Genomic DNA, 22,338 nt, shown 5'->3' with positions numbered 1-22,338 from the left:
CCTGGGCTTTTTTGGTTGGTAGGCCTCAATTATTGCCTCAATTTCAGAACTTGTTATTGGTCTATTCAGGGATTCGACTTCTTACTGGTTTAGTCTTGGGAGGGTGTATGTGTCCAGGAATGTATCCATTTCTTCTAGATTTTCTAGTTTATTTGCATAGAAGTGTTTATAGTATTCCCTGATGGTAGTTTGTATTTCTGTGGGATCAGTGGTGATATCCCCTTTATCATTTTTTATTGTGTCTATTTGATTCTTCTCTCTTTTCTTTTTTATTAGTGTGGCTAGCAATCTATCTATTTTGTTAATCTTTTCAAAAAACCAGCTCCTGGATTCAATGATTTTTTTGAAGGTTTTTTTGTGTCTCTATCTCCTTCAGTTCTGCTCTGATCTTAGTTACTTCTTGTCTTCTGCTAGCTTTTGAATTTATTTGCTCTTGCTTCTCTAGTTCTTTTAATTGTGATATTAGGGTGTTGATTTTAGATCTTTCCCACTTTCTCCTGTGGGCATTTAGTGTTATAAATTTCCCTGTAAACACTGCTTTAGCGGTGTCCCAGAGATTCTGGTATGTTGTTCTGGTTTCAAAGAAGCTTATTTCTGCCTTAATTTAGTTATTTACCCAGTAGTCATTCAGGAGCAGGTTATTTAGTTTCCATGTAGTTGTGTGTGTTTTGAGTGAGTTTTTAAATCCTGAGTTCTAATTTGATTGCATTGTGGTCTGAGATACTGTTTGTTATGATTTCCATTATTTTGCATTTGCTGAGGAGTGTTTTACTTCCAATTATGTGGTCAATTTTAGATTGGTGATGTCGTGCTGAGAAGAATGTATATTCTGTTGATTTTGGGGTGGAGAGTTCTGTAGAGGTCTATTAGGTCTGCTTGGTCCAGAGCTGAGTTCAAGTCCTGAATATCCTTGTTAATTTTCTATCTCATTGATCTGACTAATATTGACAGTAGGGTGTTAAAGTCTCCCACTATTATTGTGTGGGAGTCTAAGTCTCTTTGTAGGTCTCTAAGAACTTGCTTTATGAATCTGGGTGCTCTTGTATTGGGTGCATATATATTTAGGATAGTTAGCTATTCTTGTTGCATTGATACCTTTACCATTCTGTAATGCCCTTCTTTGTCTTTTTTTTTTTTTTTTTTGAGACGGAGTCTCGCTCTGCCACTCAGGCTGGAGTGCAGTGGCACGATCTAGGCTCACTGCAAGCTCCGCCTCCCAGGTTCACGCCATTCTCCTGCCTCAGCCTCCCGAGTAGCTGGGAGTACAGGTGCCCACCACCACGCCTGGCTAATTTTTTGTATTTTTAGTAGAGATGGGGTTTCATCGTGTTAGCCAGGATGGTCTTGATCTCCTGACCTCGTGATCCACCCACCTTGGCCTCCCAAAGTGCTGGGATTACAGGAGTGAGCCACCACGCCTGGCCTTTTTGTCTTTTTTGATCTTTGTTGGTTTAAAGTCTGTTTTATCAGAGACTAGGATTGCAACCCCTACTTTTTTTTTTTTTTTTTTGCTTTCCATTTGCTTGGTAAATATTCCTCCATCCCTTTATTTTGAGCCTGTGTTTGTCTTTGCATGTTAGATGTGTCTCCTGAATACAGCACACTGATGGATCTTGACTCTTTATCCAATTTGCCAATCTGTGTCTTTTAATTGGGGCATTTAGCCTGTTTACATTTAAGGTTTATATTGTTATGTGTGAATTTGATCCTGTCATTATGATGCCAGCTGGTTATTTTGCCCGTTAGTTGTTGCAGTTTCTTCATAGTGTCAATGGTCTTTACAATTTGGTATGTTTTTGCAGTGGCTGGTACCAGTTTTTCCTTTCTATATTTAGTGCTTCCTTGAGGAGTTCTTTTAAGGCAGGCCTGGTGGTGACAAAATGTCTCAGCATTTGCTTGTCTGTAAAGGATTTTATTTCTCCTTCACTTGTGAAGCTTAGTTTGGCTGGATATGAAATTCTGGGTTGAAAATTCTTTTCTTTAAGAATGTTGAATGTTGGCTCCCACTTTCTTCTGGCTTGCAGGGTTTCTGCAAAGAGATCCACTGTTAGTCTGATGGGCTTCCCTTTGTGGGTACCTCATCTTTCTCTCTGGCTGCCCTTAACATTTTTTCCTTCATTTCAACCTTGGTGAATCTGACGATTATGTGTCTTGGGGTTGCTCTTCTCGAGGAGTATCTTTGTGGTGTTCTCTGTATTTCCTGAATTTGAATGTTGGCCTATCTTGCTAGGTTGGGGAAGTTCTCCTGGATAATACCCTGAAAAGTGTTTTCCAACTTGGTTCCATTCTCCCCGTCACTTTCAGGTACAACAAACAAATGTAGGTTTGGTCTTTTCATGTAGTCCCATATTTCTTGGAGGCTTTGTTCATATGTTTTCATTCTTTTTTTCTCTAATCTTGTCTTTATGCTTTTTTCATTAAGTTGATCTTCAATTTCTGATATCCTTTCTTCCACTTGATCAATTTGACTGTTGATACTTGTGTATGCTTAACGAAGTTCTCATGCTGTGTTTTTCAGCTTTATCAGGTTATTTATGTTCTTGTCTAAACTGGTTATTCTAGTTAGCAATTCCTCTAATGTTTTTTCAAGGTTCTTAGCTTCCTTGCATTGTGTTAGAACATGCCCCATTAGCTCGGAAAAGTTTGTTATTACCCACTTTCTGAAGCCCACTTCTGTCAGTTTGTCAAACTCATTCTGCATCCAGTTTTGTTCCATTGCTGGTGAGGAGTTGTGATCCTTTGGAGAAGAAGAGGCATTCTGGTTTTTGGAATTTTCAGCCTTTTTGTGCTGTTTTTTCCTCATCTTCATGGATTTATCTACCTTTGGTCTTTGATGTTGGTGAACTTTGGATGGGGTTTCTGTGTGGATGTTGTTTTTGTTGATATTAATGTTATTCCTTTCTGTTTGTTAGTTTTCATTCTAACAGTTAGGTCCCTCTGCTGCAGGTCTGCTGGAGTTTGCTGGAGGTCCGCTCCAGACTCTGTTTGCCTGGGTATCACCAGCGGAGGCTGCAGAACAGCAAAGATTGCTGCCTGATCCTTCCTCTTGAAGCTTCTTCACAGAGGGGCACCTGCTGGATGCCAGCTGGAGCTCTCCTCTATGAGGTGTCTGTTGACCCCTGCTCAGAGGTGTCTCCCAGTCAGGAGGCACGGGGGTCAAGGACCCAATTGAGGAGGCAGTCTGTCCCTTAGAGCTTGAGTGCTGTGCTGAGAGATTCACTGCTGTCTTCAGAGCTGGCAGGCAGGAGCATTTAAGTCTGCTGAAGCTGTGCCCACAGCCACCCCTTCCCCCAGGTGTTTTTTCCCAGGGAGATGGGAGTTTTATCTATAAGCCCCTGACTGGGGCTGCTGCCTTTCTTTCAGAGATGCCCTGCACAGAGAGGAGGAATCTAGAGAGGCAGTCTAGGTACCGTGGCTTTGCAGAGCTGCGGTGGGCTCTGCCCAGTTTGAACTTCATGGTGGCTTTGTTTACACTGTTAGGGGAAAACTGCCTACTCAGTCTTCAGTAATGGTGGACCCCCCTCCCTCCACCAAGCTCCAGTGTCCCAGGTCGACTACAGACTGCAGGGCTGGCAGCAGGAATTTCAAGCCAGTGGATCTTAGCTTGCTGGGCTCCATGGGGGTGGGATCCACTGAGCTAGACCACTTGGCTCCCTGGATTCAGCCCCTTTTCCAGGGGAGTGAATGGTTCTGTCTCACTGGCATTCCAGGTGCCACTGGGGGTAAAACAAAACAAAACAAAACAAAACAACAACAACAACAAAAAAAACTGCAGCTAGTTCGGTGTCTGCTCAAACAGCTGCCCAGTTTTATGCTTGAAACCCAGGTCCCTGGAGGCGTAGGCACCCAAGGGAGTCTCCTGGTCTGCTGGTTGCAAAGACCATGGGAAAAGCGTAATATCTGGGCCAGAATGCACTGTTCCTTACAGCACAATCCCCCATGGCTTCCCCTGGCTAGGAGAGGGAGTTCCCTGACCCCTTGCACTTCCCAGGTGAGGTAACGCCCCACCCTGCTTCAGCTTGCCCTCCCTGGGCTGCACCCACTATCTAACCACTCCCATTGAGATGAGCCGGGTACCTCAGATGGAAATGCAGAAATCACCTGCCTTCTGCATTGATCTCACTGGGAGCTGCAGACTGGAGCTTTTCCTATTCAGCCATCTTGCCACAACAGTGTCCTTTGAAGAGCAGAAACTCTTAACTTTGATGAAGTCTTACTTTTTCTTTGGTAGGTTGGGATTCTGATGTAATATGGAATACATCTTTGTCCAATCAGGATTGCAAGGATTTTCTCCTAAGTTTCCTTTTAGAAATTTTATAGCTTTAGGTTTTTACATTTAGGTGCATGATTCATTTTGAGTTTTTTTGTGGGGGTATAATTGAGGTTTATTTCTTTATTTTTTTTGCAAATGGTATCCAATTGTTCCAGCATCTGTTGAAAGCACTAGCGTGAGTTTTTAATTATTACTGAAATTCTTTTTAAGTAAGTTACTTAAGACTTTAAAACTATCTAAGATTATTGTCTCCCTCACTTCCACATTTAAAATGGAAACAAAACATTGCCCTCAATTGTCTAAACTTTATTATTTATTTAATTATTTATGTACTGACACAAACTCTTGCTTATGTTGCCCAGGCTGGTCTCAAACTCCTAGGCTTAAGAGATCCTCCCACCTCCATCCTAAGAAGCTGCAACCACTCTGCTCAGCTCTTAACATTTAAATTGCCCACACTTGATAATGAGTTTTGGCTTTTTCCTCTTGAATAGTTTGTGTCCTTTTTATTTTAAATATCAAATAATTATTTATTTCTGTATTCATAATAGAAAATAAAAAAGTAATAATATCTGAGAATCCAATTTCCAAATTCAAGAAACTTCTTCAAGTTAGAGGATACAAAAACAAAAAGCCATTATATCCTTAAAAATTGAGTCATGAAAATTATGGCACAAAATAGTAATGAAACTTCAATTACTAATTAAGGAGGATTAAGTATTCCCTTCTTTGTTCTCACAGCACACTATTATACTTCCTTTATAGCTTTTCTTTTGTATTACAAATATTTCTTTCTGTGTTGATCCCACTCCCCATACTCAAGGGCAAAAGCTATGACTTAGTCAGATTTTTATTCCCCACTGCCTAGCAAAACCAGAAACTCAAAGCGTAGCAAAAACCTAAAAAAATTGTTACATTGAACAGTGCAAAAAGTTTCCCAATGTGAGTATTAACATTTACTGGTTGAGTGATAGTATATGCAGATTTTATTAATGTATTTCAGTAAAGTAAGATGCACAGTTTTTCATATTTTGATATTTTAGAAATAGCGTTGCTTCTCCAATTGATAACACCTTATAAGTGCCCTAGTGTCAAAGGGAGGCAAAGGGATCTTTCTAAGCAGTAGTTGTTACTGCCCATGCAAGCCAGACCTAGTCAAAGCTGTCCATGTTGTACTTTAGGGGAGTTCTACACATTGTTGGTACTGCACATGTTGAGCTTTATTGCCTTCTAAAATGTCTTTTTTTTAAAATTATTATTATACTTTAAGTTTTAGGGTACATGTGCACATTGTGCAGGTTAGTTACATATGTATACATGTGCCATGCTGGTGCGCTGCACCCACTAACTCATCATCTAGCATTAGGTATATCTCCCAATGCTATCCCTCCCCCCTCCCCCGACCCCACAACAGTCCCCAGAGTGTGATATTCCCCTTCCTGTGTCCATGTGATCTCATTGTTCAATTCTACCTATGAGTGAGAATATGCAGTGTTTGGTTTTTTGTTCTTGCGATAGTTTACTGAGAATGATGATTTCCAATTTCATCCATGTCCCTACAAAGGACATGAACTCATCATTTTTTATGGCTGCATAGTATTCCATGGTGTATATGTGCCACATTTTCTTAATCCAGTCTATCATTGTTGGACATTTGGTGGGGAGGAGCCAAGATGGCCGAATAGGAACAGCTCCGGTCTACAGCTCCCAGCGTGAGCAACGCAGAAGACGGGTGATTTCTGCATTTCCATCTGAGGTACCGGGTTCATCTCGCTAGGGAGTGCCAGACAGTGGGCGCAGGTCAGTGGGTGCGTGCACCGTGCGCGAGCCGAAGCAGGGCGAGGCATTGCCTCACTTGGGAAGCACAAGGGGTCAGGGAGTTCCCTTTCCGAGTCAAAGAAAGGGGTGACGGACAGCACCTGGAAAATCGGGTCACTCCTACCCGAATATTGCGCTTTTCCGACGGGCTTAAAAAATGGCGCACCACGAGATTATATCCCGCACCTGGCTCCGAGGGTCCTAGGCCCACGGAGTCTCGCTGATTGCTAGCACAACAGTCTGAGATCAAACTGCAAGGTGGCAGCGAGTCTGGGGGAGGGGCGCCCGCCATTGCCCAGGCTTGATTAGGTAAACAAAGCAGCCAGGAAGCTCGAACTGGGTGGAGCCCACCACAGCTCAAGGAGGCCTGCCTGCCTCTGTAGGCTCCACCTCTGGGGGCAGGGCACAGACAAACAAAAAGACAGCAGTAACCTCTGCAGACTTAAATGTCCCTGTCTGACAGCTTTGAAGAGAGCAGTGGTTCTCCCAGCACGCAGCTGGAGATCTGAGAATGGGCAGACTGCCTCCTCAAGTGGGTCCCTGACCCCTGACCCCCAAGCAGCCTAACTGGGAGGCACCCCCCAGCAGAGGCACACTGACACCTCACACGGCAGGGTATTCCAACAGACCTGCAGCTGAGGGTCCTGTCTGTTAGAAGGAAAACTAACAAACAGAAAGGACATCCACACCAAAAACCCATCTGTACATCACCATCATCAAAGACCAAAAGTAGATAAAACCACAAAGATGGGGAAAAAACAGAACAGAAAAACTGGAAACTCTAAAAAGCAGAGCGCCTCTCCTCCTCCAAAGGAACGCAGTTCCTCACCAGCAACGGAACAAAGCTGGATGGAGAATGACTTTGACGAGCTGAGAGAAGAAGGCTTCAGAGGATCAAATTACTCTGAGCTAAGGGAGGACATTCAAACCAAAGGCAAAGAAGTAGAAAACTTTGAAAAAAATTTAGAAGAATGTATAACTAGAATAACCAATACAGAGAAGTGCTTAAAGGAGCTGATGAAGCTGAAAACCAAGGCTCGTGAACTACGTGAAGAATGCAGAAGCCTCAGGAGCTGATGCGATCAACTGGAAGAAAGGGTATCAGCAATGGAAGATGAAATGAATGAAATGAAGCGAGAAGGGAAGTTTAGAGAAAAAAGAATAAAAAGAAATGAGCAAAGCCTCCAAGAAATATGGGACTATGTGAAAAGACCAAATCTACGTCTGATTGGTGTACCTGAAAGTGATGGGGAGAATGGAACCAAGTTGGAAAACACGCTGCAGGATATCGTCCAGGAGAACTTCCCCAATCTAGCAAGGCAGGCCAATGTTCAGATTCAGGAAATACAGAGAACGCCACAAAGATACTCCTTGAGAAGAGCAACTCCAAGACACATAATTGTCAGATTCACCAAAGTTGAAATGAAGGAAAAAATGTTAAGGGCAGCCAGAGAGAAAGGTCGGGTTACCCTCAAAGGGAAGCCCATCAGACTAATAGCGGATCTCTCGGCAGAAACCCTACAAGCCAGAAGAGAGTGGGGGCCAATATTCAACATTCTTAAAGAAAAAAATTTTCAACCCAGAATTTCATATCCAGCCAAACTAAGCTTCATAAGTGAAGGAGAAATAAAATCCTTTACAGACAAGCAAATGCTGAGAGGTTTGGTCACCACCAGGCCTGCCCTAAAAGAGCTCCTGAAGGAAGCGCTAAATGTGGAGAGGAACAACCAGTACCAGCCGCTGCAAAATCATGCCAAAATGTAAAGACCATGGAGACTAGGAAGAAACTGCATCAACTAACGAGCAAAATAACCAGCTAACATCGTAATGGCAGGATCAAATTCACACATAACAATATTAACTTTAAATGTAAATGGACTAAATGCTCCAATTAAAAGACACAGACTGGCAAATTGGATAAAGAGTCAAGACCCATCAGTGTGCTGTATTCAGGAAACCCATCTCACGTGCAGAGACACACACAGGCTCAAAATAAAAGGATGGAGGAAGATCTACCAAGCAAATGGAAAACAAAAAAAGGCAGGGGTTGCAATCCTAGTCTCTGATAAAACAGACTTTAAACCAACAAAGATCAAAAGAGACAAGGCCATTACATAATGGTAAAGGGATCAATTCAACAAGAAGAGCTAACTATCCTAAATATATATGCACCCAATACAGGAGCACCAAGATTCATAAAGCAAGTCCTGAGTGACCTACAAAGAGACTTAGACTCCCACACATTAATAATGGGAGACTTTAACACCCCACTGTCAACATTAGACAGATCAACGAGACAGAAAGTCATCAAGGATACCCAGGAATTGAACTCAACTCTGCACCAAGCGGACCTAATAGACATCTACAGAACTCTCCACCCCAAATCAACAGAATATACATTTTTTTCAGCACCACACCACACCTATTCCAAAATTGACCACATAGTTGGCCGTAAAGCTCTCCTCAGCAAATGTAAAAGAACAGAAATTATAACAAACTGTCTCTCAGACCACAGTGCAATCAAACTAGAACTCAGGATTAAGAATCTCACTCAAAACCGCTCAACTACATGGAAACTGAACAACCTGCTCCTGAATGACTACTGGGTACATAACGAAATGAAGGCAGAAATAAAGATGTTCTTTGAAACCAACGAGAACAAAGACACAACATACCAGAATCTCTGGGACACATTAAAATGTCTTTAAATATATTATATTATGATTTGGCATTGAAACAAGATTTATTGTGTAGGGAGAATGGCATGGAAACAGCGGCATGGAGTGAATCTAACATTGGTGAAACAAATTTGTCTAACTGTGCCTACGAGAGTACTTTATAGACACTAAACTAAGAAATAAGAAAGTATTGTATTATTTAAATTGGCAAGAACTGTTCTTAAATGACCCATAAGACAATGATGAGATTTATAATTCATGACATCTCAGATTTGATGAAATATAGAATTTTTATTCTTTATGACCTGCCTAAGAAGAGAATGGACTCTAAACAATTGCTTCTTCTTGTCGTAAGATGGAAGATATGCAGAAGACTAGAAAATGGTACATCATGCTTATTCAGAATAAAGAACATCCTGAAAATTATATATTTCAAGTTATACTTCAAGCATTTAAGAGACTGAAAATCGACTGATTGATTACTTAAAAGCTAAAAAGACCCAAGGTACTGGGTAGTAATCAGTGTGGGGTCCTGAAGACCCAATTCTATCAATTCCTCTTTTTGAAAAAGTATGGGCTTCTTAGACAAATAATAGGCCTAAGGGAAATAAATCAAAAGCAGAACTTTTGTTTCAATTTTATATGACATTATTAATGACAAAGTGGGAAGATGGGCGTGGAGCAGACATCTGAGTGAATGTTGTTGCAAAGGCGTAGACTGAGCTGTCAGTGGCCTCTAAAATATTTATTATATGTGATTTGTCCATCTACCCAACTTATTGACCTTTTTCTTAATTCCATTTTCTGGCAGCTCATAAGTTCAGAAGAGAAATCAAAGTGACCTTGGCAAAATTGATATGTATTTTGATTAAACATGGATATCGTTTTAGTAATGACAGTGAAAAACAGTACTCTGTCTTAAGAGGCTTCATCTTTTCTGCAGGTAAGGGAGCTGAAGAAAACACATTTTGAGATTTCTTTCAGAGACAGAGTTGTTACAGGTAATAGACTTTTTAAAACAAATGGCTTGTAATACAGTCTAAACTATATTGTGATAATCTAACATAAATTAATATTTTATTATTTAGAATTATCTCAGACATTATTTTAAGACATAAGATAACATTTAAATATTGAGAATCCCAAAAGTTCTTTTTCTGGTTGCTTAATTGTTTGAATAGAGTTTTCGTACTAAAGAAACAGTAAAGCTGGTTGCGGTGGCTCATGCCTGTAATCCTAGCCCTTTGGGAGGCTGAGGCAGGAGTACCACTTGAGCTCAGGAGTTTGAGACCAGCCTGGAAAACATAGGGTGACCTTGTCTCTACAAAAACAAAACAAAACAACAACAACAAAAATAGGTGGCTGTGGCATGATCATGGCTCACTGCAGCCTTGACCTCTTGGGCTCAAGCAATCCTTCCACCTCATCCTCCTGAGTAGCTGGGACTACAGGCTGCAGTGAGCCATGAGCATGCCATTGCACTCCAGCTTGGGTGACAGAGAGAGACCCTGTCTCAAACAAACAACAACACAAAAATTAGGTGGCTGTGATGGCACATGCCTATAGTCCCAGCTAGTTAGGATGGTGAGGTGGAAGGATTGCTTGAGCCCAAGAGGTCAAGGCTGCAGTGAGCCATGATTGTGCCACCACACCCCAGCTTGGGTGACAGAGTGAGACTCTGTTCAAACAAATAAACAAAAAAAAAAAAAGAAAGAAAGAAAGAAAGAAAAAACCCAATAATTCAAAAATTTGAGCATTTCCCTTATTTACAGTTACTAGTTATGGTTAGCAATGTATTATTGTTTACTTGAGGCATGCCACATAGTAGGGGAACCTATGACATATACCAAAATAGTATTGTTATTTTAATCACCTATTATAATTCTAGCATGTGTTATTAATTCTCAAAGAATGAGAATAAGAAATTATAGTATTTTAATTACATCTAGATTTATTTGATGATTTAGAAGTCAATCTCAGCCTTTTGCATTGTGTCAAGGTCATTGTTTACAGGATAGAAAGATTTCTGGTTGGTGGAATTCTGGATCCTTTGCTGTGATTCTGTTCCTTTGCTGTGATTGATTGCATCTTAAATAAATACAGAACAAACATATGAACTGGTCCCTTATTCCCTTCTGAAGCAGTGTTAATTCAGTTCTATCAAATAGCATAGAAAAAAGTTATAAACACCCATTAACTTGAGTTACATTTTAATGTTATAACTGTGGTTTTTGTCAAGGTTGTCAGTGGCTTCCATGTTCCTAAAGTCTGTGGTGAATTCCTGATGTTCTTATTTGACCTGTAGCAGCATTTGTCACAGGTGATCACTCCATCCCTTGGGAGCACGTTCTTCATGCCTTCAGGACACTGCACTTCCTCCATTATCCTCCTGCCTCCCTGGTCGCCCCTCAGTCTCCTTGCCTGTCCTTACACTTCCCCTGACCTCTTCATGTTGGTGTGCCTCAGGGCTCGTTTCACTGTCCTTTTTCTGTCTATGCTCAGTCCCTTGGAATCTCATTTGTTTTATTTGCTTTAAGTACCATCTATATGCTTATGATTCCCAGATTCATATTTCCAGTGCAGGACCCTTCTACAAACTCCTCGCTCTTATAACCAAAGCCATGACATGTCTCTACTTGATGTCTAATAGACTCTAGAAATGTCACATGTATGTCCAGAACTGAATTCCAATACTTGTCACCCCTGCCACCTGCTCTACTTGCAGACTTCCCTGTCTCAGTTAATGGCAATTCCATTCTTGTTGCTTGGTTGACTCTTCTCTTTCTTCCATATCCTCATCCACGTTTTTAGGAAATCCTGTTGGCTCTGCTTTCAAAATATGTACAGATTCTGACCACTTCTTATCACCTCCATTCCCACTACTTAGGTGAAACCCTCATCATCTCTTACCTGGATTACTGCAATAGCTTCTCAGCTGGTCTCCCTCTTTCTGTCCTTTTCTCCTTAAACTCCCCTGACCTCAACACAGCCTACTGAGTATTTATAATGAAAACCGAGTCATGTCATACATCTGTTAAAAATCCTTCAGTCATTTCCCACTTTACTCAGAGTAAAAACCAAAGTCCTTATAGTTAGCTTATATGGTCCTAAATGATCTGGCTCCTTTGTTACTTTTCAGACCTCATCTCCTAAGAGTTCCCCCCTCCACTCAGCCTTATGACCCCACTGTTGCTGTTCTTGAAATACAACAGGCATGGTCCCACCTCAAAGCCTTTGCACTGGCTGTCCTTTTGCTTGGAACGCTTTCCTCAATAGTTCATGCCCATTTCTTCTCTCTAGGACTGCCACGTATGCTTTTCACAAAGAGTCATTTGTAGGGCACCTCCCACACTGTCAACCTGCTTAACTCAGTGGTATGAGTCTGCTCACTGTAAGTCTTTGCATAAACGCCACTTCTCTGTGACACCAGTCCCAATCACCCAATTTATTTATTTAATTTTGTTTTTCTATAAGTTATTGGGGTACAGGGAGTATTTGGTTACATGAGTAAGTTCTTTAGTGCTGATTTGTGAGATTTTGGTGCACCCATCACCTGAGCAGTATATACTGCACCATATTTGTAGTCTTTTATCCCTTGCCCCTCTACCACTCTTTCCTCCAAGTCCCCAAAGTCCACTGTATCATTCTTATGCCTTTACGCCCTCAAAGCTTAGCTCCTACATAACAATGAAAACAGAATATGTTTGGTTTTCCATTCTGGAGTTACATCACTTAGAATAATAGTCTCCAATCAGCTGGGTGCAGTGGCTCACGCCTGTAATCCCAGCACTTTGGGAGGCTGAGGGGGGCAGATTGCCTGAGCTCAGGAGTTCACAACCAGCCTGGGTAACACAGTGAAACCCTGTCTCTACTAAAATACAAAAAGTTAGCCATGCATGGCAGTGTGCCCCTGTAGTCCCAGCTACTCGGGAGGCTGAAGCAGGAGAATTGCTTGAACCTGGGAGGCGGAGGTTGCAGTGAGCCGAGATTGCGCCACTGTACTCCAGCCTGGGTGACAAAGTGAGACTCTGTCTCGAACATGAAAAATAATAATAATAATAATAATAGTCTCCAATCTCATCCAGGTCACTGAAAATGCTGTTAGTCCATTCCTTTTTATGGCTGTGTAGTATTCCATTATATATATTTACCACAGTTTTTTTATCCACTCTTTGATTGATGGGCATTTAGCCAACCATCCAATTTAAGTTTGAAATCATCTTAGCTTTCCTGGCCTCACTTATTGTGTTCTGTTCTGCTTCCTGGCTCCCCCTCCCATATCAGTTATTACCTTCTAATAAACTACTTTAGTGACTTGATGTTTTGATTGTCTTCTTCCCTTGCTAGAATGTAAACTCCATGAGGGCAGAGGTTTTTGGTTGTTTTATTTACTCTGTATTAAATGCCTGTAACAATATCTGGCACATAGGTGGCACTCAATAAATTTGTTGAGAATATCATTTAAAATTAATGTATTTCATTAGATATATATTTACTATGGAGTTAAAGATTCAATTTTTAAAAAGTTTTATCTTCTAGCTCAGTATATCCATATGTGCTTTATGTCACAGAAAGAATTGATAGCTTATCTTGGTACCTTATAAAACAAAGGAATTTCAAGTGATAACAGCCATTCAGCAGCTATGTTTGATAAAGCTTTTTCAAGTTTAATTAGAATTTACAGATCTTTGAGAAGCAATTAAAAAACCCTTGCATGTTATTTATTGATTCATAAATAATATTATGGCTTACTTTATTGTTAGGTATGGTATGCTACAATGCATATGTTATTCAAGTGCAAATGTTGATCAAGTCATTAACATCATTAGAAAGTTAAGCTACAACAGGTTTTTAAGTGGCTGGGTAGAAGGAATGTATTTAGAAATATATTTATAATATATTTTTATCATGACCTGGTACCTTTTCAGTAAAATGATGGCACAGCCAGTGTTTTCATGTAAACATAAGGGTTAAGAGGTTTTCTGTGTGTTTTTTTTTTTAAATAATAGGAAAGCACTTTTATCAGATGATTTGAAGCAATGCATATCAATAATACAACAGTCCTTACTAGCATTTCATAAACATTCAAAGCACCCATGAAAGTGGTTTAGAAAAAGGAGTTGGATTACCTTCTTCACAGTTATGATACCAACTTGGAAATTGGGATCTGTGCTAATGTCAAAGGCATCTGCACCATCTCCATCCACAATAGTATATTTCATCTCTGCATTGATGCCTTCATCCAAGTCCTTGGCAAACACTCTCCCGACAGTGGAGCTAATTGGAGCTGATTCCAACACACTCATCTGGTAATGTTCTACGAAGAAAAGCCAGGACACGCATTCTTGATAATCCGTCACTATAAAAAATGCCTCATCATTATCATATCAGGAGTGCTGTGCAAAATATCTTTTTTTCTGGGTTCAAAAAGTAAAACTTGAGTTTTTACAGATAAAAACTAAGGTCCAGAAAGGCTGAGCAAACGGTCATACAGGCCATAGCCTGTATTGGATGTTCAATAAGGAGGAGTCAAAAAGGCTTCAGTAGAACAGGGTGAAAGCAAAACGACTTAGTCCTAGTGACTGTAGCTTGAGTGGTAGGAAGTACCTTGGATTCAAATCTTTTAGTGCTTCCTAGTGAACTGAAGTATTTCCTTAAATTGCAGTTCCTTCTGAGAGTGATAAACACTGTGGTCACAAAGTGCGTATTTATTCTGTTTACGCTTCAAATGTCCATCTTTTTTTTCATGGCCTGGCTTGTGTGCTGAGTGCCTGTCTCCAGCAACACCTGCTCAGAGGTCATGGAGATCAGTGATCTATAAAGGGGGGGCAGCCGTGGAGAGCAAGCTCCATCAGCTCCATGTGCTGCCCCTCAGTGTGTCCTTACACCCCAGACTGCCCCAGCCTGCCTCTCCATGGACAGACCCTTCATGCTTCTTGTTTTCTTATTCCAGAATAAAATACTAAAAAGGTTCTCACATATGTAAGAAGCTCAGAGTTGGACATCTCCTTTTGGACATGATATCCTGAGCTCACAATTAAATTTAGTTCACTTTCATCTCCATGAATTCGTATTTTTACCAACTTACTTTTTCTGGGGCTCAACTTTTTGACGTTTTTTGTTATTTTGTCAATCATAATGTGACTGACTAAATAACAAAGAAAAATCACACAATCACATTTTCAATATGTACGTGTTCCCTTTTATTCTAATATGCTTTGTAAGCTATAGCCTCAGGTGTGAGGGCTCAAGTTTCACAAAGAATCAGGGAGGTTGACAGCACCCAGCCAGCTCACAGCACCCTGCCTTGCGCAGGAGAAGAAATGATGCTTGTTCTTTACAAACATGAGCCAGGAAATCTTTAAAGTTTGTACTAAGCTGGCAGGGAATTGGATTTCATGATCTCTTTCCATTTACTTCCAAAGTTGTTGATGGATTACACTTTGCTGTTGCAGAACTTTTGGGAAAAACAAGCATCTGCCTACAGTTTTCCTCATCCCAATAAAGCTATGTTATATGTTTAAACATCTACATACAATTTCTACATGATACATTATATTATAAATAAATAGCTTGAGATCTTGATGTTTCATTATATTTGGTTCTATTAAAGGTGGCTTAGCTTATTCAATGTAAAATAGTAGGTGTATCATTTTGTCAACATTCCACAATCAGTTATAGTAATATTTGTGAAAAAGAAGCAAAATGGAATTCCTACAATGAAGACTCATTAGATTAATTAGGCATAAGAGTATAGCCAAGATAGGTTTATGGAATATCAAGGTCATCTAAACTTAGTTTTAGCAAATAGATGGGGAACTATTTAATGAAGAGAGAATGCAAAGTTTTAAAAGGTCAAAAAAGAGGAAGCAGCGATAACGTGTGTAGAATGCATAGAGACACAGAGATTTAAACTTTTTTATATTTCTCTTTTGTCTTCCATGAAACATAATCCATGCTTCCACTCTATCCTGGAGTCTCCATTAAAACTATATTTTGAAAAAGTGACAACTTAAAATGTGTGCTTTAGAATGGTATTAAGATGTTGGCTTGAGGCTGGGTGTGGTGGCTCATGCCTGTAATATCAGCACCTTGGGAGCCTGAGGAAGGCAGATGATTTGAGCCCAGGAGTTCAAGACCAGCCTGGGCAACATGACAAAATCCCATCTCTATAAAAAATATAAAAATTAGCTGGGCATGGTGGTGTGCACCTGTAGTTCTGGCTATTCAGGAGCTGAGGTGGGAGGATTGCTTGAGCCTGGGGGTTGAGGCTACAGTGAGCTGTGATTGCACCACTGCAGTCCAGCCTGGGTGACAGAGCAAGACCCTGTCTCAAAAAAAAAAAAAAAAAAAAGATATTGGTTTCGGAGGCAAGACTAAAACCCCAGTAATCCTTGTATAGTGTTCTGCTATTGTGAAGCTGCCATGTTTGGGGTAACATGACTCCCGGCAATATGTCCGAATCCATCTACCTTTGAGCTATGTAATAACCTGAGCTATGTAATTAGCTGGTTCTACTGTCCCTTCTGCCTCCATCAGAGACACCTGTCTAGTGTCAAATGTAAAAAGCCAAGTAGTTCAAGGGTGTTCAAGAATTTATAGTCTATAGTGTGAGTAATATGAGCCCTTCATGAAGTAATGAAGATGGAACCCACAGAATCACCAAAGCAATACAAAGTCCATCCATGTGGCATTTCACAAACTGTTCTGTGATGCAGAATACGAATTCTGCACTGTTGGACCAAGCAACTTAGGAACTTAGTTACTTGCACCCTTTGTGAAATGCTTATCTAGTATCCTGCTTTTTCCATCATGAATGCTCATGGGGACTTTGTGTATTCCATTTGCATGTAAATATTTGAGATCTCCTGTGTTTACATAGATACAAGGGAAGGTTAGCTTGGTCTGGCTGATTCAAAATGCAACTATTCATCTGACAGTCTGGCTAGTCTGGCTAGACTCTTCCTCCTTTTAGTTTAGTTTTTCTTTTTTAAGCCCCGTTTCCCTAGCTAAGTGTTTCACCTGGAATTGCACTTCCTGCTCTCATTTCTCCCGCTGCTTCCTTCAGGCATCTGCTTCTCAAACTTACGTCTTCATTCCTGGGCTCTGTTCCACGTTCATAGCTCTATATTTCCACTTTCCTTAAGGACATTCAACCTGATTGTCCTGCTGTCACTTCATATTCAAATCTGAATTTGTCTCCCTCCTTCACTGCCACTCGTTCCATTATGCGTCCTCTATTTTTATTAGTAGTACAATCCTTCTCCCTGTCATCCAGAGTGAAAACGTCATTGTCATCTTTGACTCCACCCTCTGCCATGGTTCCCTTAGCCAGGAAATCAAGAGGCAGAAGTCCATGTTTCCTCATTTGTCCCATTCCACTCATCCTGCTATTTCCTTAAGTCCTTAGCAGTTCAAGTCTGGACCACTCTAAATGCCTCCTAACCGACTCCCCTGCTCCTAGTCTCTGCCCTTGCCAACCCCTCCTCTACATGGCTACCAAATTAGCCTTTCTTTATGTCTCCCTCTTGCTCAAAAACGTTTCTATGGCTTCCACTGGAGATACAGCACATTTGAAAGAGCAGGTTTTAATTTTAGGAGTCTTTGAACGTAAAGTGACAGTGAAAACTTATTTCCAGGCAGCAGTTTTTTTTTTCTTCCATTCAGGTTTTTACTCAAATGAGCTCCAGGATGGTAGAGACGTTGTTTTGTCTGTATACAGCTTTGTGTTCCATTCATAGAATAGTGCCTGGAATAAATATTTTTTGAATGAATAAGTAAATGAATGACTTCCCCTTCTGGAATGTTTTCTTTTCTGCCTATGTAAACCTGTTATATTCTTTAGCCCCCTGTTGAAATCTCATCCTTCTGTGGAGGCTTCATTCATCTCAGTTTGTGTGAAGGCATCATCTTGCACTGTTCAAGTGGCAGCAAATGCTACTACGGTTTAATTTTTCTTGTGTGTAGGATGTGTCCTCCCAAGTGGATTTGAAGCTTCACAAGGGCAGAGACAGGATTCCAAGCCTCCTGTGCCCTTCATGTCCAGGGGTCTCACCAAGCAAGTGCTTGGTACCTACTGGAGTGATTGGTGAAGATCGTCACATGGGCAGGTGTGTCCATCTACAGCTTTGGGTATCAGTGAATGCATTCTCAATGGATCAATATGGCCCCCTGGGGGCAAAAATAGGTTTCCAGGGCTGTGATGAAAAAAGTCTCAGCATTACTAGTTTGTGGCCCACTAAAGGTCAGTTCTACCCAACAAAACTTATTCCTTAGTATTGCATTTTATGTGGGGTGGGTGGGCGTGGCAATCAGGAAAGAAAGTCTAAAAAGATTCCACAGGGAGGAGAAAATGGAAAAATATGTTTGAGAAATCCTGGTTTAGTACTATGGGAAGCTGGAACACTGAAGGCAAATAGTTATGCGAGAATTGCATGATGAATGTAAGAAAGGAATCTATGGATAATTGAATTTAATGAGGAAACTCAAACTGGGCTTTCTCCCGCACCTCTGCAACGGGTGCGTCCCTCTGGGCCCGAGGTCTGTGCTCTCTTGGGTTAGGTACTCACTCTGGGGAAAGCGGGGTGGGTTATCATTGACATCTGAGAGGGTGATGTTGACTGTTGTGGTCCCAGCTAATCCTCCAAGCTGCCCTCCCATGTCCTTGGCTTGGATAATCACTTCGTAGTATTCTTTGGCTTCTCTGTCCATGTTCATGAGCGCTGTCCTAATTACACCTGGAGGATAGAAATGACTTTGTTTATAAAAATAAAACCACAGGTCCAGTTTTTAAAGATTGGTTTCTAGGTGTCTCCCTGGTGCACCATTAATGCCTAGAAGTGAGGTGCAAGTCACCTGTGCTTTTAAATTTGAGGTAAAAAAATCTCAGCTTCAAAAATGGGCTGTACTGAAACCAGTGGTGAATGAAAACTTTTATTCCAGCAGGAAGAGCTCAGAGGGCTGGTTTCTTCTGGCAACATTACTGAAAGTGAACAGGAGGTGGCAGCAATGTTTCTCTTACAGATCTGGGAAATTGTGGTCCAAGGCGATTTCAGACAGTGCTGTCTCACCAAGGAAAACTGGGGGCTTTGGGTCCAGAAAACAAAGCCTCATAAGTCTACAAATCTGTGAATTTAGATAATTCTCCCTCAGTTTCTTCAGCCCCTAGAGCCCTTGTAGTGTGAATGGCTCTTCTTTAGGTAACTCATTCCTGCTTTTTCTTGCTTCCCTACTACCTGTAAGCAGGGTTGGAATTCTAATTGGATTTTCCTGTTGTTACATATTCATTCTGTTTTGTGACATTCTTCTGTTTACCTCTGTGCTTTTAATTTTGTGAGCTAGGACATGAAAGATGCTCTGTGAGCTGTTTATTTTTACCATGCATAAGATATGAATTTCCCCAGAGAGCAAGCAGCAGATACGGTTTCATTTAAGAAGAGAGGCCTACACCAAATCCGTTGAAATGTGTTGTGATCCTGCCAAGCCTGTACAGTAATGTTTTGTCTCCCTTTTAACCCTGCAACTTAAAAAAGTTGACTTCTCTACACTGTAGGCAAAGATTAAAGGCTTACTTACTACAGCTTTACAACATGACTCTTGGCTAGATAGACCTTTTGCATGAAAATGGAAGGGACTGGGAACAATAATCCGTCCCCAGTTTACCCCTATAATGTATATATTGCATTGTAGTATAACATTCTCCAGTGATATATGCAGCATTTTCTTTTTTAAAAGGCCCCCCATGGGCACAGCTATAACTCTCTGTTCATGTATTTTTGACCTTAACACTACAGATGCCCCCCGGGAGCTGTCAAAATAATCTAAGACTCTTCTTAGGATATAAAGGACACATTACCCTCTTCCTCCCTGCATTTTTCCTCCCTGTGGGCACCCTTCCTCTCTTCATTCTCCCCCTTGCCCTTAGTAGAATTGTTAAAGTTACTGTTTTATAGAAGTCTCTAACTGCAATCTTTTTTCTTTCCTCCTCCTAATTTACACTCCCTTACTACTTTTATGATACAATTTTCTGAATGTCTGGTTTCCCTCAGGACTTCTGGGAAAAAAATTCGATCAGGTTGCTAATAATAGAAATGTATTTTTTCTTTTTCAAATAAAGAGGTGACTTTGAGTGTTCACCATTAACTTTATTCTGTGGCTGTAAGTTTCTTTACTCAAGTTCCTTGTTAATTACTCCTAGGTCCCATGTTTACCCTCATATAAAATGGAAGTAATAATACTTCCTATATCTTTTGCTAGTTTACAAGATTATTGGGAAGCTCAAATATGGCAATGTTTATGAAAGTATTAATAAGAGGGGAAGCCTGGCACAAGTATAAGATAATAATGATATCACAATAACTTTGCCAAGCTCAAACATATTAAATGAAATCTTTCATACATCCAAAGGTAAATTCTGTAGTCAAAGCTCTCGGGTAAGACAGAAATAAATAAGCAAACAAAACACCAAACTCCTGTTTGTCTTTTCTGCCGCATTGCTCCTCGCCCATTCAGTTCTCTCTGATGTCCTCCCTGTGAGAGCTTCCCAATCAGGACCTGCCTTTTGGGGGCCACATCCCACCTGGTCTTTCCTCCCTCATCAAAACCTGTCTGCCCCAGCAACCATTCATTTTGGACTTCTCTGCTGAGTGCACAGTGGTTGGTTCAATAGAAAGAACATCAGACCACATGTCAAGAGACCTCTCTACACTAGATGAACTTTAGTAGCTCTCAATTTCCCAATTGCTTTATCTGATAAGCAAATGGTGATGGACTGGATGATTCCCCCAAGGCTCTTTCCAGTTTCACAATCAATGCTTCTAGTTCTCTAATGACCCAGGTGAATGTGTCAATCCTGTTGGGTCTTCATGGGGTTATAAAAGACCTTAGTCCCTGGGAATAAATATAACCATAGGATTTTTTGAAGGCTATTGGGGAGTTATTTTGTGTGTGTTTGCGCAGAGGGGCTTTTTGCCTCTCCAATCAGACACTGCTCACTGTCTATGCATAGTGCTGCTCTTACCTGTCAGGGCAGTGCTAGTTTGCTCTCTTAATCCTAAAGCTAAGAGCAGTCTTCTCTGGTTAATACACTCCCTGGAGAGTCCTTAAAAAGGAGAGTTGGGTCTGTCATAGCAGCAGTTATAAATTATCAGGGAATAAACACCTCTGACTCGACCCTTGTATCAGATACCTGTTTTAGAGTCCACAGAAAAATATGGCTGGCCCTGAAGAATGCTGTACACCACCCTGGCACTGTTGCCGTAGGTCGGGTCATCTGCATCTGTGGCTGTCACTTGGATGACGGAGGTACCTGGGGAAGAGAAGAGGTAGAAACCTGTTCAAGTCTAATAGCTAAAGGCTGGATGCAATCCTGAGCGGTCCATCTTAAAGCATTTGCAAATGTGTTTGCTTCATTGGGAGAGTCCCCTTTCTAGGTCAAGCTTCCATAACTCTTATCTTGTACCTGTTTAGTAGGGATAAGAGTTATTTGTGCTTTAAATTCTGAATGACTGATAAGGACACAGCCTTTGGGCTCTTCATTGCTTTTTTTTTTTTTTTTTTTTTTTTTTTTTTTTTTTTTTTTTTTTTTTAAGATGGAGTCTCACTCTGTCGCCAGGCTGGAGTGCAGTGGCGTGATCTCAGCTCACTGAAATCTCCACCTCCCGGGTTCAAGTGATTCCCCTGCCTCAGCCTCCTGAGTAGCTGGGACTATAGGTGCGCACCACCACACCAGGCTAATTTTTTTGGTGTTTTAGTAGAGACAGGGTATTTAGTAGAGACGGGGTTTCACCATGTTGGCCAGGATCTCCTGACCTTGTGATCCACCTGCCTCAGCCTCCCAAAGTTCTAGGATTACAGGCGTGAGCCACCGCGCCTAACCCTATTGCTCTTTTGATAATAACAAAATATTTCTCCCTTATGAAACAAATCTGTCTAGCTAATATTTTGTTTTTAAAGAATCAGAACTAAAAAACATTAATAGGCTTATTATTATTACTTGCTCTGGTTGATTCCAATGTCTATATAGCTTCCTGCCAGCCAAAGGGCTTGGTCGTCATTTTTGGTTGCTTTATAATTGGTGAGCTTCTCCTCTCATGCTCTCCTGTTCTGAATATATGTGTATCTACATGTGTGTGTGCATGTGCATATGTGTGTGTGTGTGTATATATATAGGAGGTGCTATTTGTGAAAATCAGCGAGTCACCACCTTACCCACAGGGGACATTTCTGGCACAGTGGCCACATAAGGTCCGTCCAGGAACTTGGGCTCATTGTCATTGATGTCTTGAATTTTGATGATGAACTCTGACTCGGGCTCCATTGGCCTGCCCGTCCGCCTGTCTAGGGCTTGAGCCCTTAGAGTATACTGGGCTCTTTCCTCTCGGTCGAGCCTCTGAATGGCGTGGATGTCTCCAGTGGTGTCGTCGATGGTAAACACGATGCCAGCACCTTCTCCCGAGAGGATGTATTTGATGGATCCGTCTCCCCTGTCCATATCTGAATGAAGCTGGGAGAGGAAAGCACCTAATTCTCATCATGAATGTCAACAGGTGTCAGAAAACACATTGATTT

At 41.1% G+C, this 22,338-nt stretch overlaps 1 protein-coding gene across 4 annotated transcripts in view; it reads right to left on the bottom strand.

Annotated features, from left to right (window-relative positions):
• CDH20 (cadherin 20) overlaps nt 1–22,338 on the bottom strand; it is a 222,350-nt gene that overhangs the window by 34,321 nt on the left and 165,691 nt on the right. For all 4 annotated transcript variants that reach the window (XR_001753187.2, XR_001753186.2, NM_031891.4 and 1 more), the window contains exons 3-6: nt 21,979–22,273; nt 20,957–21,076; nt 18,339–18,506; nt 13,899–14,086 (exon numbers count right to left, since the gene is read on the bottom strand). Coding sequence is in view for 2 of the 4 variants with exons in the window: in NM_031891.4 (NP_114097.2) it covers nt 13,899–14,086; nt 18,339–18,506; nt 20,957–21,076; nt 21,979–22,273 (771 nt within the window). In the remaining 2 variants the exon portion in view is untranslated. The remainder of the gene's footprint in view (nt 1–13,898; nt 14,087–18,338; nt 18,507–20,956; nt 21,077–21,978; nt 22,274–22,338) is intronic.

Source organism: Homo sapiens, chromosome 18, assembly GCF_000001405.40.
Source record: "Homo sapiens chromosome 18, GRCh38.p14 Primary Assembly".
Taxonomy (NCBI): Eukaryota; Metazoa; Chordata; class Mammalia; order Primates; family Hominidae; genus Homo; species Homo sapiens.
The sequence above is the reverse complement of the archived record's forward strand: the minus strand, read 5'-3'. Positions and strand labels throughout refer to the sequence as shown.